At 39.2% G+C, this 27,629-nt stretch overlaps 2 protein-coding genes across 13 annotated transcripts in view; one reads left to right on the top strand and one right to left on the bottom strand.

The window, feature by feature from the left end:
* The window catches only part of GABRR1 (gamma-aminobutyric acid type A receptor subunit rho1), a 53,785-nt gene extending 51,050 nt beyond the window's left edge, over nt 1-2,735 (top strand). For all 5 annotated transcript variants that reach the window (NM_001267582.2, NM_001256703.1, NM_001256704.1 and 2 more), the window contains one exon: nt 1,176-2,735. In NM_001267582.2, the coding sequence (NP_001254511.1) occupies nt 1,176-1,469 (294 nt within the window). In that variant the 3' untranslated portion in view covers nt 1,470-2,735. The remainder of the gene's footprint in view (nt 1-1,175) is intronic.
* Nucleotides 2,736-14,673: 11,938 nt separating this feature from the next.
* PM20D2 (peptidase M20 domain containing 2) overlaps nt 14,674-27,629 on the bottom strand; it is a 71,626-nt gene continuing 58,670 nt past the window's right edge. For 5 of the 8 annotated variants that reach the window (XM_047418220.1, XM_047418221.1, XM_011535481.4 and 2 more), the window contains 5 exons: nt 27,054-27,196; nt 25,337-25,491; nt 21,779-21,914; nt 18,349-18,456; nt 14,674-18,130 (listed from right to left, as the gene is read on the bottom strand). In XM_047418220.1, the coding sequence (XP_047274176.1) occupies nt 17,976-18,130; nt 18,349-18,456; nt 21,779-21,914; nt 25,337-25,491; nt 27,054-27,196 (697 nt within the window). In that variant the 3' untranslated portion in view covers nt 14,674-17,975. The other 3 variants (XM_017010289.2, XM_047418219.1, XR_007059208.1) reach the window with 3 other exon arrangements.

Genomic DNA, 27,629 nt, shown 5'->3' with positions numbered 1-27,629 from the left:
CTGGAACCTCAGGCAGGGCAGACCTTCTCTGTAAAGCAAGGTCATGATACCCTCTCCTGTGCCTACTTCACAGGGTTGTTGTGAAGAGCAAACAAATTGGTGTATTTCAAGTCATTGTGAAATTTACTTTGGGTGACATCTTTCATTCATTGAAAAATTTTTTTGCACCTACCACATACTTGGACCAGGTCTTAGTTAAGTGTTAGGGAACATCTTGGTGATGTTCATAGTTTAGTGAGGGAATCCCAGGAGAAAAATAAATGACAATTTAACATAGTGGGACAAATTATTTATGAACATAAGGGTGTAATAAAAGAACTGTCCAGGGAAGAACATTTCTCATTCTAGGAAATCTTCCTTCATATGTAACCTCATGCATGCTCCACCTTTTCCCAGGTTATCTTTCCTCCCACCTGACTCTCCTTTCCTCCTCCAGTGTGCAGCTCAATGGTTATCTCCCCCAGCAAACTCTAACCATGTTACAGTAATCTATCCCCACAATACCAATCCCCATCCCCATGACAAATGCACACGTTCATGCACACACTTGTAATTATGTGATCTGTAAACATTTTTATCAAGGGCTCATAACAGCTTATGATCTCATGGAGAACAGGGTGATCTATGAATCATGAGCATTCTTGTTGGTCTTTGGTATGGCACTGTGATATTTTCTAAGAGTCAGTATGTAGATTTTAGATCAGCAAAAATGGATACCAGGCTGGGCACAGTGGCTCACGCCTGTAATCCCAGCACTTTGGGAGGCCGAGGCGGGTGGATCACCTGAGATCAGGAGTTTGAGACCAGTCTGGCCAACATGATGAAACCTCGTCTCTACTAAAAATAAAACAATTAGCCTGGCATGGTGGTGTGCATCTGTAATCCTAGCTACTTGGGAGGCTGAGGCAAGAGAATCACTTGAACCCCAGAGGCGGAGGTTGCAGTGAGCTGAGATTGATCGTGCCATTGCACTCCAGCCTGGGCGACAAGAGCAAAACTCAAGTCCCCCCCAAAAAAAAAACAAAAACAAAAACAAAACAAAACAGGATACCTACCCTCTTCCCAAACTGGGAATACCAGAAACCAGGCAACACCCTCCACTATGCAGTTCCTTTTGAAGGGCTTCTGAGAGATGATGCTGAGCTCACACCCCAACATGTGTTTACTGTTTGCAGCTTCCCTGCACCAGCGGATTACCTCCGCCCCGCACTGCGATGCTGGACGGCAACTACAGTGATGGGGAGGTGAATGACCTGGACAACTACATGCCAGAGAATGGAGAGAAGCCCGACAGGATGATGGTGCAGCTGACCCTGGCCTCAGAGAGGAGCTCCCCACAGAGGAAAAGTCAGAGAAGCAGCTATGTGAGCATGAGAATCGACACCCACGCCATTGATAAATACTCCAGGATCATCTTTCCAGCAGCATACATTTTATTCAATTTAATATACTGGTCTATTTTCTCCTAGATGCTTGTAATTCTACAAATTTCACATTTCCATGGCATGCACTACAGAAATAACTGTATAATGAAAAAGTATTTAAGGATATGGTTAAAAAAAAATCCCAGGACCCACCCATGTTTTCACTATCCCTTCTGCAGCTTTCCAAAGCTACATTGACGAGACACTTACTGGTTTAATTTGCACTTATTAACCATCTATTGAATACACAGCATTATATTAGGTGCTGCAGGAAATACGACACTGTAGCGACTGATGTTAGTTGTTACCCAGATCCCCTGGAAAAGCACACTACCAGTGTTGTGGGCACATTTAGTTCCACCCGTTAGACCCTTGATGCTATTCACATGAATAATTTATTTTCCTCAAGTGTCATTACATTGTTCAGGCTACGTGAACTTGGAAGCACCTACAGGCCATTTGCATGAAATTCACATGCACCTAAATCCTCACTTTGACAGAAACTCATGCTTCAGTTTATAACCTATTACCTATTTTGTATGCGACTCCACCTCCGCATGTTTATTTTAATAAAAGGCAATGATAACATTCACATTATTTTTCTTTATATGCTGTGGTTCACAGGCTTTACCCCTTCACAAGAAAAGCTCTTTAGATTGGCGCAATTGCTTCTGATTTTGGTGAAATTTTCCCTGGTAGGGAAACTTTGAAGATAAGAGTACACACATGCATTTTGTCTGTTGTGTCATAGAGGTAACTAGGCTAGAAAATTTGTGTTTAAATGTTCCCTATTTTATATAATCACCACTTCATGTTTCTTCTTCTTGGAGCATGTCCTTGTTCAAAGAGAAGTGCTTTCTCAGTGATGTGATATCTTCACTGAGGAACTTGGGTAGAGAATGATTTCTTCTGCATAAACACTTCAAGGAAATACATAATTTGGGACTACTTGTAACTCATTAGAATGAGAAATACTCACATGGTTTCTTAAGAGAAAAAGAACATCGGAAAGCAAAATAAATGGGAAGATATCACTGGACATCTGCATTTATACTCGAAATACCAGCATTTTCTATGGACCAGAAAACTGCCATCACCTAGACCACACAGCCCAGATACCAGGCAGACGGATGGCCCAATGGCAACTGATGTCAGGGCATGGGGTAAAGGAGAGGGTTCTAATCTGGTGTATCACTTAAAAACAGTTATTTATATTATATATCTGCTATATAGATCAACCTCCACCAAACTTACCCAAACAGCATTTGTTTTATTTGAAACTCACTTTAATAAAGTGAATTATATACACAATAATGTCATTTTCATTTCAAAGTTAATTTGACTCATCACCAATACTAAATATTATGATTCTACATATGCAGGACTATATTTTAATCTGAAAAAACCTATTTGCATAAACCCTAATTACAATGTAATCTCCCATTATCTCCAATGAAAACTCACCGAAAGAAAGTTTTTTGGCAAGCTTGAATAAACTTAAAGGGATTTAGATGAAATAGTTAAATGTTAACTATTTAAATTTTGTATTCTTATTTTATTTTTTTGAGACAGGGTCTCACTCTGTCACCCAGGCTGTAGTGCAGTGGTGCCATCTCAGCTCACTGCAACCTCTGCCTCCCAGGCTCAAGTGATTCTCCCACCTCAGCCTCCTGCGTAGCTCGGGCTACAGGCATGCTCCACCACACTCAGCCAATTTTTTAAAGTTTTTGTAGAGACAAGGTCTCATTATATTGCCCAGGCTGGTCTCAAACTCCTGAGCTCAATCAGTCCTCCCACCTCAGCCTCCCAAAGTGCTGGGGAAAAAGGCGTGAGCCATCGCACCTGACCCCTAAATGTTAACTTTTGATGTTTAAAGATGTTATTTTAAAAACGCTGGTTTTTTCCATGATTATTTTATAGAACAATTGCAATCAAACTCTTTACAAACATCTTTGCTGCTGTCTTCTTCCTCATGATCACTAGGGCCACTGTGAGTGAGCTGAAATGTATCCAGGGCACACCATCTGAACTTCCATCTATTTGTACAGGATACTCCACCATTTGAAGCAACCTATGGGATACTCTATTAGTGTGCTAAAGTTGTGATAGCGAAGTACCACAGACTGGGTGGCTTAAACAACAGAAATTTATTTTCTTACAGTTTTGGAGGCCGAAGTCCAAGACCAAGGTGTTGGCAGGCTTGGTTTCCCTGGAAGCTTCTCTCCCTGGCTTGTAGATGGCCATCTTCCCACTGTGTCTTCACATGGTCTTTCCTCTGTAATGTGTGTGTCCTAATTTCTTCTTATAAAGACACTGGTCATATTGGAATAGGGCCCATGCCAATGACCTGATTTAACCTTAATTACCTTTGTAAAGGCCTATCTTCAAATACAGCTATGTTGGGAGTTAGGGCTTCAATATATGAATTTGGGGCCCATAGGGAGACACAATTCATTCAATAACAGATGCCAATAGAAATTATCAATTTGCTTAATAGTATATCTAATGCATCTTTTAGATGTTTATTCTTGATTTTTGCAACACAACACATGCAGCATTGTTTTTTAAAGTGATATTTAAAAGACTTATTTACTTTGATAGTCACACAGTGATTGTGAGGAATCAGTGATTAAATTCATATTAAATGTCTTTGCTATCTTTTCTGGCAATTCCCGGTGACCACTATGAGTATCTAAAACTAGCATTAATTGAATAATTTCCATGCTAATGTGTTTTCTTAAGGCATTACTTTTCTGTCAAAGTTATGTAATTGACAGCTCTGTAGTATGACTTCGTAAGGACCCAAATATAAAGCAACTCCCTATTTTTTGAAGGATAATTTTGGAGAAAACCACATAATATATCTGAGCATCTATAGTACTTAATACGTTTTACTGGCATGAGTAGGAAGATGTGGTTAATAATATTGTCTGGTTAATGGGCAAATACCATGTGGCCATATTGAATATTTTTTTTAATTTTAAAAATTTTTTATAGAGACAAGATCTCACTATGTTGCCCAGTCTGGTCTCAAGCAAACTCCTGACCTCAAGCAATCTTTCTCTGCCTCAGCCACTGTGCCTGGCTTGAATAATTAATTTTTAAAGAGTTAAAATGTATTTGACTAAAACTATATCAAACATAATGTATTCTCTGCCTGGTAGTTCAGAAGGCGCTGTAGGATTCTGAAGGATTTTTATCACTGTGATAGAATGTAGGCATCATCCAGATGTGCAGAAGGGTTATAGGCAGTAGAGAACTGGAGTTTCAATATTCTTTAGTTGCTTTCATAATTCATACTTTATAGGGAAGGGTGGTGATGCTAGATCTTAGAATAAAAACGGCTTATATTTTAGTGACAGTGAAACCTCACATTTGTAAATCCAGTTTTACAAAAAATACTTTCACATTCTGTTTCATTTGAACCTGAATGAGGAAATTCTAAAGGCTGAGAGAGGCTGATGGAATAACATGCAGATAACATGGTTAATAAGTGAAAGACTTTTTTTTGAGGCCGAGTTTCACTCTTGTTGTCCAGACTGGAGTGCAGTGGCGCAATCTCGGCTCACTGCAACCTCCACCTCCCAGGCTCAAGCAATTCTCCTGCCTCAGCCTCCCAAGTAGCTGGGATTACAGGCACACACCGCTATGGCTGGCTAATTTTTTTTTTGTTATTTTTTAGTAGAGACGGGTTTTCACCATGTTGGCCAGGCTGCTCTTGAACTCCTGACCTCAAGTGACCCACCCACCTCAGCCTCCCAAGGTGCTGGGATTACAGGCATGAGCCACCTTGCCTGGCCTTTTTTTTTTTTTTTTTTAAGACAGAGTTTTGCTCTGTCACCCAGGCTGGCGTGCGGTGGCATGATCTCAGCTCACTGCAACCTCTGCCTCCTGGGTTCAAGTGATTCTCCTGCCTCAGCCTCCTGAGTAGCTGCGATTATAGGTGCCTGCCACCACGCCCAACAAATTTTTTTTTTTTTTGTATTTTTAGTAGACATGGGGTTTCATCATGTTGGCCAGGCTAGTCTCGAACTCCTGACCTCATGTGATATGCCCACCTCGGCCTCCCAAAGTGCTAGGATTACAGGCATGAGCCATCGCGCCCAACCTTAAGTGAAAGATTCTTTACTCAATGTTCATTCACCTTATTACAGATAATAAATACTGGACAACCAAACTGTCATACACAATACATAAACACTGCTATAAGGAAATATTTTAACTGATCATTGGTATATTTTAATTAATTCGTTAACTCATTTATTTATTCATATATTCGTCAAGTAATACTGAGCACCTACTACTTTGTAGGAAACATTTTAGACCAGTGCTTCTTAAACTCTCTGTGGTGAAGGTTCAGCTTGTTTTATTTTTTAAAATGTCAGTCCATCAGCTTTTTGTATGATGAGTTTTTTGAATGTGGAGAGTCCCTGATATAACCCAGTCCTGTGCCTGCATCCCCTCCTTCAGAACCATGGAGCCCACCACCATGTGTTGCTAAAATCACAATCACAATAATCCACGTATAGAAAGAACAATTTCATTTTGATGTTATCAAGAAAATTGCTACAACTGAATTTCAGGGCTTGCTATGTATGGGAAATTTCAGTACCTGCAGTAAATAAGAAAGTACATTCTCCAATGCACACGTCAACAATGTTAAAGTAAAACCATTTCACTCACTTCAGTATTATCACAACTTTTAAAATAAGTGAATGTGTTTTCAATTCCATATTCTAAATTTAATTTCAATCTATTTCCTGTCAATTATTTCAAGTATTACTATTTGTGTAGAAGGAAATATCCTTACGTTTCTTGAGACCAGAGTGTTTTATGAATGCCCTCTAGTTTACACCAAAAACAATGAACAGATCCTTATTGGTGAGTTTAGTGGGTTTCTTCAAGTAGCATTTATAGCTCTGTACACAGTCGGTACCTATTGTGATGAAACACATGCATTTGTAGGCTACTTGGCTGGCAGGCAGGCCTTGGCCATGAGAACTGAATGAAGGTAACCGAATCTCTTTGAGAATCAAAGCCATGCCTAAGTGAGGTTAACTTATATGAAGTGTTCAACCACACAACTATACCTTATATCTATAACGGGGAGTGGAAAATAGGGAAGTGTTTAGCTTTTTCATTTTTCTTGATTTGCAAGCTTCAATACTCTGTTTAAAACAGTGTAATTTTAGCCGGGCACAGTGGCTCCTGCCTGTAATCCCAGCACTTTGGGAGGCTGAGGTGGGAGGATCACTTGAGCCCAGGAGTTCAAGACCAGCCTGGACAATACGGTGAGACCCTGTCTCTACAAAAAATAGAAAAATTAGCTTCAGCTGGGCATGGGGGCACATGCCTGTAGTCCTAGCTACTTTGGACACTGAGGCAGGAGGATTACTTCAGCCCAGGAGGTCAAGGCTTCAGTGAGCCGTGATCACACCACTGCACTCCAGGCTGAGTGACAGAGCAAGACCCTGTCTCTAAAAAAATACATAAAATCTTGTGAAAGTAATTAAGGAAATTTAAAAAAATTGGAAATTTAAAATCTAGTTAGCAGGACAAAACAAAAAGTGAAAAACTTCCATTTCAGTCCAAATGGAGTTAAACACAACCCCAATGACTGAAAGATACAAATTTAGGCAATATGTTTTGAGTGTATACAATGTCAGACAGTTTGGTATGCTGAGCTGAATAACTGCTTTGGCATTTTGTAGACTGAACCCTCATGTACCTATCTAAACTTTGTGATTCTCCAATAAACAAAAGTCCTTTAAACGTTTTAAAAATCTAATTTGTTTTGAAAACTAAAAATAAGACAGGACAGCCAGGCACAGTGACTCATACCTGTGATCCCAGCACATCGGGAGGCTGAGGTGCAAGGATGGCTTGAGCCTGGGAGTTTGAGACCAGCCTGGTCTCTAACAGAGAGCCTTGTCTCTACCAAAAAAAAAAAAACTTAAAAAAAAAATTAGCTGAGTGTGGTAGGGTGCACTGGCAGGAGGATCGCTTGAGCCCAGGAGATGGAGGTTGCAGTGACCTGAGATTGCACCACTGCACTCCAGCCTGGGCAACAAGCAAGACCTTGTCTCAAAATAAATAAATAAATAAATAAATAAATAATAAACATAAGACAGGGCACCACATGCCATAAAGAGGTGCAAAAAGTAAATCCTCTCAAATTCCCACCATTTCTGTGGCTTAAAATTTTAATTGACATTTCTAGAAGTGGTCATTAACACTGAGGAAAACCCACTGGAGCAAGAAAGAAAGTCCAGCAACAAATAAAAAATACAACCACAAATTTAATTTTTTGTTGCAATGTAGAACCCCGATGAATGTCATTCCAAAACATTGTTCCTAAAAATGATAGATTCCAAAGAAAAAGACATTAGTTGCAGGGTGAGAGGTGAGTGGAATTGAGAAGAATTAAAGAGGCAGAAGTTGCTTTAAGAAATTTTACTGGCTGCAGTGCCAAGATTTCTGTTGTTCAAAGGCCAAGTTTTAAATCTCATTCAGGCATGTTATAACAGGATTCTGTTTGTAATTTTCCAGTGGTTTCTTTCTCTTAGACTTTCTTCTTCTTCTTTTTTTTTTTTTTAGACGAAGTCTCGCTCTTGCACCCTAGGCTGGAGTACAATGGCATGGCGTGATCTCGGCTCACTGCAACCTCTCCACCTCCCGGGTTCAAGCAGTTCTCCTGCCTCAGCCTCCTGAGTAGCTGGGATTACAGGTGCCTGCCACCACACCTGGCTAATTTTTGTATTTTTAGTAGAGACAGGGTTTCACCATGTTGGCCAGGCTGGTCTCGAACTCCTGACCTCATGTGATCTGCCCACCTTGGCCTCCCAAAGTGCCAGGATTACAGGCGTGAGCCACCATGCCTGGCCCTCTTAGACTTTCTATTGGAAAGCAATCAACTTTATATTGCCCAGTTAATGACATGTGCAGAGAAACAGTTCAAGCATGATGAGAGAAGAAAAAATGATCTTTGAAAATTTCTCAGTCTTCACCCCAAATTGGTACTGTTTCTCATGTTATGCCTCTGCACGTAACTATCCTTATTTTAATGTTCTGGCTTGTCTCCAAAACACTGTAACTACAGCTTAATATGAACCTAGCTATAAAGTTGCTGGCTTTGCCATCCCAAATAGTTAACAGTCTTTGTAAAATGGTCTTTAGTTATGATATATGGTATGATTATACTCAAATATATTGGGTAGCTTTACCTAAAAACTAAAAATTTAAGGTACAACATGAGAACTATTTTCCTATTTTGTAATACTTTTCCATAACACAATTTAATTACCATGGCATTCCTCAAGTTGGATTTCCACTTTTGGGTAATCACTACACCTTTTTTTTTTTTTTTTTTTGAGATGGTCTCGCTCTGTCACCCAGGCTGGAGTACAATGGCATGATCTTGGCTCACTGCAACCTCCGCCTCCTGGGTTCAATCGATTCTCCTGCCTCAGCCTCCCAAGTAGTTGGGATTACAGGCACCTGCCACTACACCTGGCTAACTTTTGTATTTTTAGTAGAGATGGGGGTTTCACCGTGTTGGCCAGCCTGGTCTTGAACTCCTGACCTCAGGTGATCCACCTGCCTCGGCCTCCCAAAGTGATGGGATTACAGGCATGAGCCACCATGCCCGGCCTCAATGCACCTATTTTTAATTGAGATAATTACAATTAGGTTCTCGTAACTCACAGTATCCCCAGAGCGGCACTGGCATTACCTTGGAACATGTCAGGGAAGCAGACTCTCAGGCCCCATCCCAGACCCACTCAATTAGAACCTGTAGTTTAACAAGATCCCCAGGTGATTCATATACACATTCAAGTTAGCAAAGCTCTAAACTAGGTTCTCATAACCATACACCTTTGTCATTCACAGAAAGTGATGAGTGTTGCATCTATGCATTCAACAACTTATTCCATATTGAGCGTTTATTATATGTGCTAAGCACTGTGTTAAGAGCTATAGCTGATCTATTGATCTCAAAGAAATTGTTAAACTATCCCCCTAGGGTCTGCACCTTCAGACACCAAGCTTTGTTTTTTTTTCCCTAATTTTTAATTTTTATTTTTCTTGAGACAGAGTCTTATTCTGTCACCCAGGCTGGAGTACAGTGGTGCCATCTTGGCTCACTGCAACCTCCACCTCCCAGGTTCAAGGGATTCTCCTGCTTCAGCCTCCTGAGTAGCTGAGATTACAGGTGTGGGCCACCACGCCCAGCTAATTTCTGTATTTTTTAATATAGATGGGTTTTCACCATGTTGGCCAGGCTGGTCTCAAACTCCTGAACTCAGGTGATCCGCCTGCCCTGGCTTCCCAAAGTGCTGGGATTACAGGCATGAGCCACTGTGCCTGGCAGAAGCCCAGCTTTAAAGAACACAATTGTCTCTTCAAAATAGGAAGAAATGTTTGTTCAGGAATATATCTTTAAAATATTCCTCTACCACAAAGCTCAGTTAATTTTTTTTTTAAATTCTGGTGGAGTATGAATCCGAGTTACCTAGGATTTAAGTGTTGATTTTTTTTTGTTTTTTTTTGGCAGGGGAGTAACCTGTAAAGTTCACCAAGTTTTAGAAGGCAAAGATTAATTTTTTCTTTTCCAAAACACAGCATTATCATTTTTCTACTAAAAACTCTCCACATTTTGTAGCCATTATAATAACTCCATACTATGGATATACAATTCAATCTTTCCCCTAGTATTGAAAGAAATAATAATATTGTGATGAATACTCCTTATATTCCTATCACAGACTATTTCCTCATTAACAATGAGCATATAGAATGAGGTTGATCTGAGATCAATTTTCTTTATTATATTATGGTAGTACAACTCTAGGTCCCTAGCTTTTTAAGACTTAAAAAAATCAGGAAAGGGTATTAAACTATACCTTAGTGATATTTGATTGTATGAACAGTAACCCACTCAAACTAACTTAAAAAAGAAATAGAATACAGGGGAATCTCACAGGCAGGAAATAAAATGAAGTGCAACTGGGGCTCACTGGAAAGATTTCAGACAGCTGCCCTTTCTAAGCAATATAGTACTTTACTTCTTGCTGGACTATTGCTTTATTCATAAGATTGGACTTCTCACAGCCATAAAAAAGAATGAAATCATGTCCTTTGCAGCAACATGGATGGAGCTGGAGGCCATTATCCTCACAGAAACAGAACACATAAACAGAAAATAAGTATCTCATGTTCTCACTTATAAGTAGGAGCTAAACAAAAGGTACACATGGACATAAAGATGAGACAATAGACTCTGGGAACTCCAAAAGGGGGTGGGGAGGGAGGGGGGTGAGAGTTGAAAAATTACCTATTGGATACAATGTCCATTGGACATTGTATGTAGTATGTATTGCATGTATACACGTATGTATGTTACACGTAACACCCATGTAAACAAGCATATGTACCCCCTGAATCTAAAAAACAAAGTCCCACTTCCCTGGATTGTATTATTGAAACCATGTTTGCAAGAATTATAAGTGAGAAAATTACGACAGTGAGAGAGATCTGACCTAACTGACGCCATCTTGCTTCGAACCGCCAAACTGCCCTTGTTCATTCCCGGGTGTAAGCCAGACTAACTTTGGGAGAAACTTATAGTTTAACTTTGAAACAAAGATAACAACCCTTTCCCAAACCCCCTTCTTGCCTGAGGACCAGGCTGCCTTTGTTAAGACTAACAAATTAGCTACAAGATTAGAAATTATCATTTAGGAGTCATTGTAACCAGAGGCCACAAGATCCTGAACCTCCCTAATTGTTCCTAGGGATAACATCACTATAGCAAAACCTAAGATCAGGGCTTGAGGTATTCTTCAGAGCCCCATTCTGATGCACCAGCCGGAGCCACCCAGACCCATTTTGCACCAGCCGGAGCCACCCAGACCCATTTTCCATCTGGCTCAACCAGCTCTGTGATCCCACACAGGAACAGAATTCAGCAAGAACCCACTCGGGCCCCACTATGATTGCATCTCCGACCTGACCAATCAGCACTCACCACCCTGACCCCCAACCTGCCAAATTAGCCTTAAAAAACCCCAGTTTTCAGATTTTCAGGGAGACTAATTTGAGTATTAAATCTCTGTTCACCCGTTTAGCCTAGCTCTGTGTAAATTAAACTCTTTTCTATTGCAACTCCCATCTTGATAAATCAGCTCTATCTGGGCAGTGGGCAAGGAGAACCCATTGGGCGATTACATTATCAGCTACTTGATTTAAATGATGTAATTATATTATTAAAATTATTCTGTTAAAAAAATTAGACTTCTCTGACATTCAGCTACAGGATTATTGACCTCAAAATTCCAGGGCTCATCATCATCAGTGGAACTTTAGGCCAGGAGAATTTAGAAAGTGCAGACGGGGCCAGGAACAGTGACTCACATCTGAAATCCCAACACTTTGGGAGGCTGAGGCAGGAGGACTGCTTGAGCCCATGAGTTCGAGACCAGCCTGGGCAATATAGTAAGATCCCCATCTCTACAAAATTTTTTTAAAAATTAGCCAGGCATGGTGGTGCACACCTGGAGCCCCAGCTACTCCAGAGGCTGAGGTGGGAGGATCACTTGAGCCCAGGAGGTTGAAGCTGCACTGAGCCCTGATTACGCCACAGCACTCCAGCCTGGGTGACCTAGTGAGACCCTTTCTCAAAATAAACAAACAAAAAATAAGAAACATAAAAAAGGAAAGTAGCAGAGGGTAGGTGGGGGGTAGTGGCAACATCAGAAGCTGGGAAGCATAGTCTCAAATCTGCTTCGAGAAAATGCTTAATCATGGTTGTAATCTCTTTCTGCCTGGGATTTTCTTTTTTCTTTTTGAGATGGAGTCTCACTCTGTTGCTCAGGCTGGAGTGCACTGGCACAATCTTGGCTCACTGCAACCTCTGGCTCCCGGGTTCAAGAGATTCTCCTGCCTCAGCCTCCTGAGTAGCTGGGACTACTGCACTACCACGCCCGGCTAATTTTTGTATTTTTAGTAGAGACAGGGTTTCACCATGTTGGCCAAGCTGGTCTCAAACTCCTGACCTCAGGTGATCCGCCCACCTTGGCCTCCCAAAGTTCTGGGATTACAGGCGTAAGCCACCGCACCCAGCCTGGATTTTCTACTATAAACTATTCTTATATATTTTTACAAGGGATCTTTTTTCTTAAAGAACACACAACCCACCTATAAGCCTTCAAAAACTATGGCAAGCACACCAAATAGGTGCTGTGAGTAACTGCTCCATATCTGAAGAAACGTCATGGCTCAACAATCATTTACCGCCACACACGTTCAGAGATAACGGGACTTGGATATTAGTTTAAAGCATTAGGTTTCAACTGCATCTGAGTTCACTTCCTGGCATCCTATCCTGCTCTCAGGCAATGAGCAAACTTTCATTCATTCATTCATTCATTCATTGAGACAGAATCTCACTGTTGTTGGCCCGGGCTGGGGTGCAATGGTGCGATCTCGACTCACTGCAACCTCTGCCACCCGGATTCCAGCAATTCTCCTGCCTCAGCCTCCCGAGTAGCTGAGATTACAGGTGCCCACCACCACGCCCAGCTAATTTTTTTAGTAGAAACAGGGTTTCACCATGTTGGCCAGGTTGGTCTCGAACTCCTGACCTCAGGTGATCCACCCACCTCAGCCTCCCAAAGTGCCGGATTACAGGCGTGAGCCACCGTGCCCAGCCCAATGAGCAAACTCTTAACTATTCATACTCAAGGATTTTTATTCAGCTTCTAATCAAACTCTTTAAGTTTCTGTACTCTAACACATAATCTTTCTTCAAAGAAAGTGCCAGACCAGATGACATGCCATGAGGCTACTGTTAATCCTGAATCCTTATCATTTCAGGCAATAACAGTGAGTCAATTTAGAAGCTTTGGTTCATCTTAAATAAACGCAAATGGAAAAGATGCAAGTTTTTAACTCTTTCCCATTCTCTTGAGCTAAATATGTTGTCAGTGACCAACAACACAACAAATAGAAAAAAAATTCAAACTCCCAAATGCGATTGTTCATCCAGGGAGGCAATGTCTACTCTCTCTGACCTCAACAAGTTGATTATTGTCCACTTAAGACCCTGACCTGATAATCTTCTCTGTTTTGTATTTCTGAGGTTTCTCTTTTAAGGTGGTTAGGTGCTTTGATCTATTGAACTAACAAAAGCTAATCTTACATATTAACCTTTTTTTTTTTTTTTTTTTTTGAGACGGAGTCTCGCTCTGTCACCCAGGCTGGAGTGCAGTGGCGCGATCTCGGCTCACTGCAAGCTCCGCCTCCCGGGTTCACGCCATTCTCCTGCCTCAGCCTCCCGAGTAGCTGGGACTACAGGCGCCCGCTACCACGCCCGGCTAATTTTTTGTATTTTTAGTAGAGACGGGGTTTCACCGTGTTAGCCAGGATGGTCTCGATCTCCTGACCTCGTGATCCGCCCGCCTCGGCCTCCCAAAGTGCTGGGATTACAGGCGTGAGCCACCGCGCCCGGCCTATTAATCTCTTTTAAAAAGAACAGATTTGGGCTCTATTTTGAAAGCCAGTCTAAGGCTGGGCACAGTGGCTTATGCCCTAATCCTAGTCTTTTGGGAGGCCAAGGCAGGAGGATCGCTTGAGCTCAGGAGTTTGAGACCCCATCTCTATAAAGAGTTTAAAAATTAGCCGGGCACATGCCTATAGTCCCAGGTACTCAGGAGGCTGAGGCAGGATTGCTTGAGCCTAGAAGATGAGGCTTCAGTGAGCCATGATCACAACACTGACTGTACTCCAGCCGGGGTGACAGTGAGAACCTGTCTCCAAAAATAAGAATAAAAATTAAAAACCAGTTTAAACAAAGAAACATGGACATTTGTGACTTTTCTCATATGAGGCACTTATACTTTAGCCAGGATCCAAAAACCTGTTCCATTGCATTTATGTTATTATATGGAATTACTCTGTATTAAATGTGTAAACTTTTTTTAAAAAAGGAAACTCAATACTATATGTATTTACCTCCTGCCATGTACAATTTGCACTGCAATTTTTTAGCTTCTGAGACTAGTGAAACATTCATTTTTAAACAAAAGAACTTAATTGTTCTTTTAAAATATTTGACACATAGTGGAAAAGCAAGTCAACATCTATGATACTGATGCGTAAGAAAAAGTATAGTATATCACAATGGATTTGGATGATTGTGCTTCATCTTCGTACATATATCTTCAGGTCATTAAAAAAGCAAGACAATTGCTATCAGATAAACATGTTTATTGTAGATTTTTCATACACATTTTATGTACCTATTATTACAAAAAAGCTTATAATCTGATGGTAGTAGACTGATTGCTTACTTGAAAATATTAACTTCATACATATCAAAATACACCATCCTCAACTATATAATTGGACTGCAAAATGCTTGATATGAAGTATGTAAAAAAATAAGCAGTTTATTATACCTTACAACCTTATAAAGGGTTGCTATCTAGTACAAAGATAACATTTATCTTATAACAAAAATTTGATAGTTTTAAAGGTTAGTATTGTGTAGGGTATTTTCCAAAAGACTAAAGAGATAACTCAGGTAAAAAGTTAGAAATGTATAAAACACCATCAGACAGGTTTTTAAAAAACAACATATTACAAAATTAGACAATCATCCTTAAAAAAAAAAACTTATTGTATCAATTTCTTTTGTTCAAAATGACTGACTTAAGTATTTTTAAATATTTCAGAAACACTTCCTCAAAAATTTTCAAGATGGTAGCTTTCAGATGTTCCCTCAGTCCCAATGTTGCTCAGATAAATAAATCTCGTGAGAACTTACCACCCACCACAAGCTTTCTGGGGCATGCAACAGTGTCTTTTCTTTTCTTTTTTTTTTTTTTTTTTTTACAGGCACAGAAACTCATCAATTTTATTTGGATAACAAAGGGTCTCCAAATTATATTGAAAAATAAATCCAAGTTAATATCACTCTTGTAAAAAAGTTGAGCACACTTTTCACAAACAATTTATGTAAAAGAGAAGAAAATACACATAATTTTACATAATATCTTAAACTCTTTTATTCCCTACCATAGACATTTTGTCTTGTTTTCTTTCAGTTTTCTACAATTTCCAACTTGTACCTGTGTTTAATACTGCTTTAGTGTGCTAAAGACATTAACTGATTGCTTTCCTAAATCTAAGGATTATATAGTTTTAGTATAAATATATATCATATATTTTCGTAAAACTTTGACAAAACCAAATAAGCAAGCCTTGTTTTAAGTCCACGCTCCTGCCACTGTTTACAAAATTTGATTTAATGATCAAAAAACTATTGGTTGTCACTCTTCTGTTACAACAATCTTCCTTGTGAACTGCCACCCAGTTTTTACATAATAATAACAAGCAATAGAAAAACCAAAGAAATTATGTTAATCTTAGCTCTTCCTTTGCAAGTGTCTTTTCTTCTTACACCCAGTGCTTAGAAATAGGCACTCCTCAACCAGTGTTCACTGAATTCAACTGCTGAAATTGTAACAGTTAAATTATCAACACAACTCTTAATAAATAAACATTCCTTTGGGAAATTGTGGGAAATCAAAACACTTTTAAGTTTATACAAGTATTCATAAACATAAAATATTCTAGTTTATCCTAATGCCCTAGCTCTTATGAGTGCTATAGAGGCAATTAAAAAGGGAAAATTTCTTGAGTAGTTCACATGTGGAGAATTTGTTAAAACCGAAAAGCAGTCCAAAATTTTTAAAAGGCATACTAAATATTAGCTATACTCACTATTACATGGTATATAGCAATTTAGTAATTCATAGTACCACATATTTTACTTTAAAAGCAGGTCCCATATTAAGGCCTGCTTTTAAAATTGCCACTAAAAAGAAAATATTTTCAATTTGTATATTTAAACCATTAATTTAGATAACATCTTTTAAAGTCTACAAATTTAACATAGCCAAGAGTTGGTATTTGAGAAAAAGGTTTCAGTACAGGGTGTGAACAATGAAAAATTATAAAGGCATGTAATAAAAATGTTCCATAAAAACAAAGATACCTCAAGCAGGTCCACCTATACCTCTAGTTTAGTTTAGAAACTAATTCAGTATTTTAAGAATCATATAATTTTAAACTTTGCACTAAGCCTAACCTTTTTAAAAAATGGTCAGGGCCAGGTGCAGTGCCTCAAGCCTGTAATCCCAGTGCTTTAGGAGGCTGAGGTGGGAGGACTGCTTGAGTCCAGGAGTTCGAGACTGCAGTGAGCTGTGATTACACCACTGCACTCCAGCCTGGGAGAGCAAGAACCTGCCCATTAAAAAACCAAACAAAAATGGGCAGGTGTGGTGTCTCATACCTGAAATCCCAACACTTTGGGAGGCCAAGACAGGAGGATTGCTTGAGCCCAGGAGTTTGAGGCCAGCCTGGAAGCTACAGCGAGCCCCTGTCTCTATTATGTAAAAAAATAAAAATTTTTTTAAAAAAGAGGTTTTCTTATGTGTACCTGAAGCAAAGTAGTAAGTATATCTTTTCTTCTCCACGTTGTACAAGAGATGACTGTAAACACAAAATTAAAACTCATCTTAGGATCATGGTCCATCCACGAAGCTACTTTAAACTCTGATGATTCCAAGCAAGGAAGCAATATTTGCTTATTCAAAAAGTACTGAATATTCAGAGTAAGCAATATGCTAGATACTGTAACAATTTAAAAATACCAACACACATGTGTATTAAAAAGACACTGGCAGGCCGGGTGCGGTGGCTCATGCCTGTAATCCCAGCACTTTAGGAGGCCGAGGCAGGTGCATCACCTGAGGTCAGGAGTTCGAGACCAGCCTGGCCAACATGGTGAAATGCCGTCTCTACTAAAAATACAAAAATTAGCTGGGCATGGTGCCACACACCTGTAATCCCAGCTACTTGGTAGGCTGAGGCAGGAGAATCACTTGAACCTGGGAGGCAGAGGTTGCAGTGAGCCGAGATTGTGCCACTACACTTCAGCCTGGGCAACAGAGCGAGGCTCTATCTTAAAACAAAAAAAGGAAAGACACTGGCTTCAAATATACAATCTGGTAGAGGAATTAATATACGATTAGAGAACAAGTTTACCACCCTATACCACAAAACACTCTCATGGGTGTCAATTCTGAATATAAGGTTTGAAATCTCTTAAGCTTTTAAAAATACACATAACATTTAAGGCTTACAAAAAGGTTTACTAACATATTTTATAAAAATGATGCCATGTATCCTCCAGGTTAAGAAATGGTATCACTACTGTGAAGGTGAGTGGTTGCGGGGTAAAAAAAAAGAAAGAATGGCATCACATACCAGCTCCTGTAATATCATAATCCTATCAAGTACGGATTTGCAAAAATTTTCACTTTAGATATGAGGTAATTAATATGTTTTCTCCACACCCTGTCCTCACTTATCAGGTAAAAAGAATTTTACTCCTTTAAGATTAAAAAACAAGCATGCCTTCATTAAAAGAGATTAAAAGAAAAAAATCATCACGTCTTCTTGATTTATAAGTGGCCCCTAAGTCTTTTATTCTACTGCATTTACAAACTGTTCTTCTTGAAGTTTCAGTTTAAAGTCCTCTCTGATTCCTTCCAGTAACTCTGGTTTAAAAATAACATCCAGTGCCGTCATTGCCAGAGCTTTGGCCGTCCGCAGAGTGTAGAACTGAGCTTCCTGTGACCCTAAAAGGTAGAGAAAATAAAATACCTCCTTACTTATTTAAGCTGTATTTAATTTCACAGGTTAGCTACCCGTATCTCAACTGGCTCTCCAACTGCCCACCACAGTGCAGTATTTACTGAGGTGATGTTATGTAGTGAAATAGTAGGTTAAACAGAAAGGCAGCTACTACCAGAAGAAGAGTGTGTGTGCCAAAACAGTCACATCCAACAACACTTACCAGCAGCTTCAGTGTACTGTTCAGTATGATTCAAGGCATTAGATCCAATGTGAAAATATGGATGAATTCCAGGAACCACAAAACTAACATTTCCAAAATCCGTAGATCCTTGGAACACACAAAGTTAAGAAAAGTCTATTTAAGTATATGTGGTTAAGTATTCTGGAGTTATGAAGTCACAGTCCCTGTTAGAAGAGACGCAGAGAAGTGAGCTTCTTGGAGAGTTGTCCGTATGCTCATGCTTTCATGGGCTCACCTTCCACTGAGTCTGCCACCCACTCCCCTGTATCAGTCACATCTCTCATGAAGGTCACTGCAAACCTGCCCTCACCTTGTCTCACGGCTTTTACTGGCCCTCTTGGCCAGCACTCCACACTGCCACCTACTCCCTTTCTTCTCTTCTGTGACACAGCACTTGCATGGCTTCCCTTCTGCCTCTCTGATGGCCCCTTCTTCTGTCTCTCTTGGGGATAGAGCCCCCTCTACCTGACGATGAAATAATAGTTACGGGAGACTCCATTCCAGGCCCCTTTCTCTTCTTACTGCATATTCTTTCTCAAGATTTTGTCCGTATGTATTGCTTCAAATCACCACCAACTCAAATCTCTTCCCAGTCTCTGCTAAGTTCCATGCTCATACATCCAGTTGCCAGCCTGGTATCTTCTCTTGGATGTCTTCAAGGTAGATCAAACTTAACATATCTAAAGTCAAACTCATGATCTTTCTCTTCTACCTCCACTCCACCTATCAACAGTACCTGCCAAATATCTCAGAATCCTAACGCTCTTTGCATCACCATCACCAACACCTGTCCTCAGCCTATGCTATCATTATCTCTTGCCTGAACTAGAAGTTTCCTAATTGGTCTAGCAGCATCTACTCTATTTGCCGTCTTTTTTTTTTCAATCTTCATTCACCTTTCCAACCTGATCTCATACCATGTTCCCACTACTCTCGATGCCCTAGCCGCTCTAGACACTCACCATGCTCTCCCTGTCACAGGACCCTTGCACATGCTATCCCTGCATCATCTCTGTAACTCTTACTTAACCTTCAAATTCCATCTTAAGCATCATTTCCTCAGCAAAGCCTTACTTACTTCACCTTCCCATAAAGTGAAATTCCTCTAGCATAAGCTCTCACAGAGATGTATTACTCTCCTTTACAGTACTTTTTAATTTTCCATGTATTGGATGATTTGGTTCATGCTTATGTCAGAAACTAAATTATGAGGCTGTATGAGGCAAGAAATAGTATTTGAAATGACTGTGCATCTAGCTTCTCACAGGATTGACACACAGGCACTTGTTGAATAAATCACAGTAAAAACAAAGCCTTATGTTCACTCAATGGATATTTACTGAATGTTTATTACATGTCAAACACCATGCAGGCAAAGTGAGACTACACAGTGATTGGTAAGAGAATAAAGGAATATGTGACAAAGAGTAGCTAACATTTATCTGGAATACTACGTTCCAAACACAATCCTAAGTGCTTTGTATGTATTCTCATTAATATTTAGAACAGTTTCCATTTTAAACATGAAGAAACCAAGGCTTATGGGTATTAAATAACATGCCGATAGTCTCACAGCTGCTAGTTATGTGGTAAATGCAGACTGAGGCCAGACTTTGAGGCATAGTAGCCTCTATAGAAGTACTGCTTCAGAAAATATTCACTAAGCACTTAACTGTGCCAGAAACGGCTCCACACACTGAGGATGCACAGTAATGGGACATCAGTGAACAGGATGGAAAAAGCCTCTCCAGTGTTTAAAGAGTCTAAAGAGTCTGAGTGTAAAAACAAAACAAAACAAAAAAGGATGGACAAAAAAAAACCTGTTGCATATTTTAAGATCTTACTTGTGGAACTAGACCCTAGAGCCCACAAATCATACCAAAATCACAGCCACTTTATCCTACTGTTTTGTCCATTATATAAAACCCAAACCCGGGGTAGAGCAGGCCATGTGTCTTCCCTTCTTCAGCTAGACAGCAGAAACCTGCTAGGGTAAAAGAACAGAACCATGCTGAGCTGAGCTTTCTTGCTGTCCAGAACAAAAGAAAACATGAAACTCTGATGTCCCTGGACAACTCCTCTCAGTGGCAATTCTCTCTCAATCCCTCAGCCCTACCAGCTCAATGCTCACTGTGTGCTACTTCCTAGAGGGAAAGTCTCTGAACTCCCTGACCTCCTTCCTAAACATTACATCTACTTCTCAAGTATCTTCCCTTAAAAACTATTTTCTTTTCCGTATTTCCCTCAAGCTTGTATCCACTCTTTCTATTTTCCTTGAAAGCTAACTCTCTTGAAAAAGAATAGTCTTCATTTGCTACTTCCACTATCTCAGCAGTCAATGCCCTGGGTAGAGAAGTGAGACCCAGCATCTGGTACCACTGGTCTTATACTATTTTCTTCCAGACAATTCATGAATTTCTAATTACTAGAGTCCAGTGGACACTAGACCATATTCATCTTATTCAGTCTCTACAGCACTTGACATGATTTATGCCTCCTTCTCTTCTGTAAGTTTTCTTCTCCCTTGGCTTCCATGACTTCTCCTCTCTCCTGATTGTCTGGCTTTCTCTCTGACCACTTCGTTGACTGCCAATGTCTGATCTCTGGGAATCTTCTTCCTCTATGTATTTGGGCAACCTCATCGACATCTATGTCTTCTATATACCTTTCATATATGGACAACTCCTAAATCTCCAAACTAGACATCTTTTTGGGTTCTAGATTTAACAGGTACTGAACAGCTCCACTTAGAAATACTATAAGCACCTCAAGTTTAACATACTAATAATTTATAACAACCCCCTCTTACCCTAACCTGCTCTTTCTCTTGAACTCCTTATCTTAATGAATGACACCGACACCCCATTTTCACCACCAAGTCCTTTTGGGCCTACTTCAACAACATCTATTTTTAAAACAGATGATACATCTCTAACTTGCAAATGTATTAGTAATAATATGCTTTTAAAAGGAAAAAAAAACTAACATAACCCCAAATATGCTTATTTCAATTCTAGCTGTCTGTTGCTCCTCAGAAACTGAAAATGCCCCAGATAACTAAGTACTTAGTAACCTGCTTATTGTGATGACTGAGAATGAATTAAAATTCTATATCCCACCTTAGCAACTTACTTAAAAATTAAAACTAACGAAACTTAAACACTAGAAAATATTTAGAATACAGACAAAAATGTAGGTTGACTATTTCTAAAATCAAGTCTGCTCGTTTGACATTCTACACTCACTTAAGAGTCCATTAGTTTCTTTCCCCTAACCATAAAGTTTGTGAAAATATTAAAAACGTCAGTAGTACCTCCCGACCTCCCAAACCATTAAATACAACCAATTTAACCAAAGATGGTATTTCTCTTCCTCAAATAGCTCAATATATAAAAAAACACTTAATTACCTGAAGGGCCATTCAACATTGTATCTTCTGAAATGAACTCTATTCCTAGCTTTCTTCCATTTTCCATATAGGCTTTCCATAGGCTCTTATTGGGAAGAACATTGTAATAATCATGTGCTCCACCTTTAATTTCCACCTAATAAAAAATTGCAAAACAAATTTTGAAATAAAAAACTCAAATTCACTATCTAATTTTCAAACCAGTGATTGTTCTCTAATAGGAAGAGGTTTTAAGAGAAGATACTTTCCCTTCCAGATATAAACACTCTCAAATCTCTTACCTTAAAAAAGAAAAAAGATTTATTTTCTATAACGAGAGTTCCTAGGACTCTCTTTTATGCTATATATACACTAAACCCCACAATGTCACCAAGCTCTATACTAGCTACCAAGTGTCAACTTCAGTCACCTAGATAGGGTATGAGAAGGGCCCAGAAATTTTTATTTTATTTTTGAGATGGAGTCTCACTCTGTTGCCCAGGCTGGAGTGCAGTGGTGTGATCTCAGCTCACCACAACCTCCGCCTCCCAGGTTCAAATGATTCTCCTGCCTTAGCCTCCCAAGTAGCTGGGATTACAGGCGCCTGCCACCAAGCCCAGCTAATTGTTTTTGTATTTTAGTAGAGATGGGGTTTTGCCATGTTGGCCAGGCTGGCCTCAAACTCCTGACTTCATGTGATCTGCCCGTCTCGGCCTCCCAAAGTGCTGGGATTACAGGCATGAGCCACTGCACCCAGCCTAATTTTTATTTTAACCAGCACCTCAAAGTAATTCTGACATAGGTGACCCAAAAACCACACTCTGAGGAACACTGCTCTAGGATTCAGTCTCCAAAAAAAAGAAATTAAGCTTTACTAATATTCAATATGCAAACTGACACTGACATCACTGCCTGGTGTGAGAGGTAGAAAAGTACTCTGAGGGAAATGTAGAAGATTTGCAATGAGGAAGGGTTGACAACAGTCCTCATTTATTAATTTCAGTATATAAAGATACGGAAGCAGCTTTTATGTGCCCAGTTAAGTGGATTTACAGATTCAGTTTTGATTAAATAAAAATTGGCAATATTCCCTCAAACCAATATTAGCAAAAGCCAATCATAAAATGGCAGAGATGACATTTCTTTTATTCTTAGCAACATCTACGGTAGAAATTATGACAACCAAATCAGACCTTACAAGTCAGCCAAAATATAAGAAATTACTAAAAGATTATTTAAAATATAGATTTAGGCCAGGCAAGGTGGCTCACACCTGCAATCCCAGAACTTTGGGAGGCCAAAGCACGAGGATCACTTGAGCCCAGGAGTTTGAGACCAGCCTGGGCAACACAGGGAGAGCCTATCTCTACAAAAAACTTTAAAAATAAATAAATTAAATTAAATATAGATTCAAATCCAATAACAACAAACCTTACCATAAGGGAATACTGTATACCTTGAGATATTGCCTAATGATAATAGTTCACATCCATAAGTATTTCACAAATAAATATTTATAATTATAAATGAATAAGGGAATAAATATTTAGTTTTTACTGCCCTCAGCTATGGACATTTCACAGTTTTCATTCACTATAACCATCTTCTCTAGTGGCATATGAGAATACATCTTTGCTCCTACATCTGTCCATATGTTTATCGATTAACTACAACACAACACGAGCTTCTATATTCTTATCTTTGCTGACTATATTCCCTAAGAACTTTCAGTCTCTGTCTTTCCCATGCATATCTGAAAGTATGATCAACCTTCAAAGCTCAGTTCAGGTCTACAGTCTTCCACAAAACCTTCCTCCAAGGTTAACAGCCCCAGACCACTCTTTCCCACCTCTGATCCTCACGACACATTCCACACTACTCTCAGGACACGTAACATATGCTTTCTGAGAATTACTGCTACTGTGAGATACTGCTACTACGTGAATCAATCATACATCTCTAGACTAATAAGAACAGAAAAAAATAAGGCAATATAAATGAAGGCTGGGCTCTAAACCCTTCAGAAACATTATCTCATTTAATTCTCACAAGAATCCTAAGATAAATTGTTATTATCTCCATTTTTCAAGCAAGAAAATGGAGAGCCAAAGACACTAAACATTTCTAAAGGTTACAGAATTAGCTAGGCTGAGAGTTATGGGTCAAGATCTTGTCTCTCCAACTAGACTACAGGCTCCCTCTAGGGCAAGATTCTTATCTTGTATAATTCTAAAACTCACTCCACTTTACACAGTACATGATTTTAAATACTAACTTTATAGTTCAAATCAACAAAACCAGTCAGTGTGGTGGCTCACACCTGTAATTCCAGCACTTTGGGAGGCTGAGGTGGGTGGATCACAAGGTCAGGAGTTCGAGACCAGCCTGGCCAACATGATGAAACCTCGTCTCTACTAAAGATACAAAAAAATAGCTGGGTGTGGAGGCAGGCGCCTGTAATCCCAGCTACTCAGGAGGCTGAGGCAGGAGAATTGTTTGAACCTGGGAGGCAGAGGTTGCAGTGAGCTGAGATTGCGCCATTGCACTCCAGCCTGGGTGACAGGGCAAGACTCCGCCTCAAAAAAAAAAAAGAAAAAAAAAAATTAGCCAGGTGTGGTGGCAAGCGCCTGTAGTCCCAGCTACTTGGAAGGCTGAGGCATAAGAATCGCTTGAACCCAGGAGGCAGAGGAGGTTGCGTTGAGCCAAAATTGCACCACTGCGCTCCAGCCTGGGCAATAGAGCAAGACTTTGTCTCAAAAACAAACAAACAAACAGAAACAAATCAATAAAACCTCTTAACTAACTTCTGTGTCTATTTTATCTTCCATTCCAGCAAGCCATAGTATTTATATCACTACTATACACACCCTAACTTCAGAAATGGCTTTCGCTGGCTGGGCGAGGTGGTTCATGCCTATAATCCCAGCACTTTAGAAGGCCGAGGTGGGTGGATCACTTGAGCTCAGGAGTTTGAGACCAGCCTGGGCAACATGGTGAGACCCTGTCTCCAGAAAAACATACAAAAAATTAGCCACGTGTGGTGGTGCGTGCCTGTAGTCCCAGCTACTCAGCTGGCTGAGGTGGGAGGCAGAGGTGAGAGGATTGCTTCAGCCTGGAAGGCGGAGGTTGTAGTGAGCCAAGATCGTGCCGCTGCAACTCCAGCCTGGGCAATAGAGCAACACCCTGTCCCCCCACCAAAAAAAAAAAAAAAAAAAAAAAAAAAGCTTTTGCTGATTTTGCCATAAACTTTCCTTTATAGAAACTACATATAGCAATTCTAAAAGTATAACTGCCGACAAGGAAGAATATAACTTGTAAAAAGGCAGGGATTCTAGCATAGAAGTATCAGAATTATTCTAATTACTATATAAGTAAGATGACCTGTCATCTTCCCTATTGCAAGCACTGAGGAATGAAACGTGTAAAAATTAAAGACTTTCACATTAACTATTCAGCCAATTCATTTTGCATATTCAACATGTCACCAAATAAGAGAGTCAAGTTAGATTTCAATCTAACAGTGCTAGCCCACATATATACCTCTGATTGTAACTTAGATTAACTTTTAAAAGTTCTTACTGTGCACCCTGAAGCCAAAGCTGCAGCTCTGAAGCAATCTTCTGCCTTTTTGGTCAAAACTTGAAGTTCTTTCATTGAGGGTGCACGGAAGTAATAGATTAATTCAGAATAAGAGGGAATGATATTGGGTTTTACACCACCATTTTTTATTATACCTATAAAAAGAACCAAATTACTAGAATTAAGCTTGGTGACCATTTCTTTAAGCTTAAATACACCCATTAAGTTTTTCAGCCAATATGTTCATAAAGAAAAATAATTTAAACTCACTAGCTCCACCAATACACCAATCAAAGATTTTGTTATGTTGTACAACTGAAATTTCTTTACATAGGGTGATATTTTTTGGCTGATAAGAAAAAATAATTATCCATATGCACTTCATTCAGAAGAATTTACATAATGTTAAGAAATTATGATCCAGACTATAATGAAACTTAGAAATTATATAACCACAAAAAAAATTAGTAACATCTTAAGCTTTCTGGAAAAGATTTTACCATACCTCAACAATGGTATGAGGTTCTATAATTACCCTCATACCTCAGGAATCCCATGAGCATTTTAAATGGCATTTAGCTATAGGAAAAATAATTTTCATGCCAAGAAAAAAACCAATGCAGGTCAAAGATCACTAAGTATTATCAACTGTCAAAACAAATGTATTTATTTGGAATTATAAAGAATTAAGATTTATTCATTCGAAGTAATAACTAAAATAGATACAAAAAATCCAATGTCCTATGACCTACTTTAAAAAAATATTTCTACACATTCCTGTTTGTTCCTTTTAAAGAAACTAAAGCAGGAAAACTGGTAAAAGTACAATTACAAATTGACCTCAGGCTATAGCAAAATCAGGTAAAGAATAGATATTAAAATATAACAATTTCCTAAATCATAAGGAAATAAATTAAACAAATGTGTGCCTTCAAGACAGTACTTTGACTGTATTTATATTATGGTGATATATATATATAATTTTAAAAGACACTATTCAGGACCAGGCATGGTGGCTCACACCTGTAATCCCAGCACTTTGGGAGGCTGAGGTGGGCAGATCACTTAAGGCCAGGAGTTTGAGACCAGCCTGGCCAACATAGCAAGACCCCGTCTCTGCAAAAAATACAAATATTAGCTGGGTTTGGTGGTGTCTGCCTGCCTGTAATCCCAGCTATTTGGGAGGCTGAAGCAGGAGCATCACTTGAACCCAGGAAGCAGAAGTTGCAGTGAGCCGAGATTGCACCACTGCACTCCAGCCTGGGCAATAGAGCAAGACTGTCTCAAAAACAAAAAATCACACAAAAAGATATTACTCAGGACTAACAGCACTTAAATAAAACTAGCAGTTATTATACCTTTTTTTAATTGACAAAATTTGGTTATCATTAAGAAATAATGAGGACAACTGGAAAATCAAGATCCAATTTTCAAACACCCACCGAAAGAACACAGCCCCTTACATAAAACCTTTATCTTTGATACTCAAAGATGACATTCCATTTATGTACAATAATCAAAACTGTCTTTCTAACCCTATATAGACAAACATCTTAGTATCCTGTCACATGAATTTCTGAAAATATGCTTAAAAATCAGAATATTCATATGAAGTACAAAAATATTTCCAAATTTTTAAAAATTGAATATTAAATAATTATACTGCACTGAACTATAGCAAGCACCATCTATTATAGAAGGTATTTGACATTCATACCATGAACTCTCCAGGTTGGTTTCATTTGCTGTCTGAACACAGACAGATTGTTATAGGCCAGCACAGCAGCATCTAATGCATTTAATCCTTCCCAGGGATAAGAAGCAGAATGAGATGCTTTTCCATAGTATTTCACAGTCACACTAGGAAATAAAAAATCATTTGAAATTACTTTTGTTATTATTGCTAAAGTAAGAAAATCCAGGTAGTCAGAATTACCCAACTACTATTCAAAATTAATTCACATTGCTGGACTTTTGATTTGCAAATTATTTGTAGTAATAACACTGCAATTTATTTATGTTAGTTATAGTTTATTATTAGGTAACATAGTGCTTGACACAAAGAAAGCATTCCCAAAAAAGAGAGAAAAAGAGAAAAGATTAAATGTATACACAATCTAATGCAAACATGCAATATGGTATCAGGTGCTGAAATTACAAAAAAAAAAAATGGATCCTGTATGTTTTTACACAGCATTGTGATGATTCTATTATCAAAAGTCTGTAAAAAATCAGAAATTCTGTCTTAAGAGGTGGAAGGTCAGGAAAGCCAGAAAGGAGTTACTATTTGAAG

The sequence above is a fragment of the Homo sapiens genome, chromosome 6, assembly GCF_000001405.40.
Source record: "Homo sapiens chromosome 6, GRCh38.p14 Primary Assembly".
Classification (NCBI taxonomy): domain Eukaryota; kingdom Metazoa; phylum Chordata; class Mammalia; order Primates; family Hominidae; genus Homo; species Homo sapiens.
Note: the sequence above shows the minus strand (reverse complement) of the source record. Positions and strands in the feature narration are given on the sequence as shown.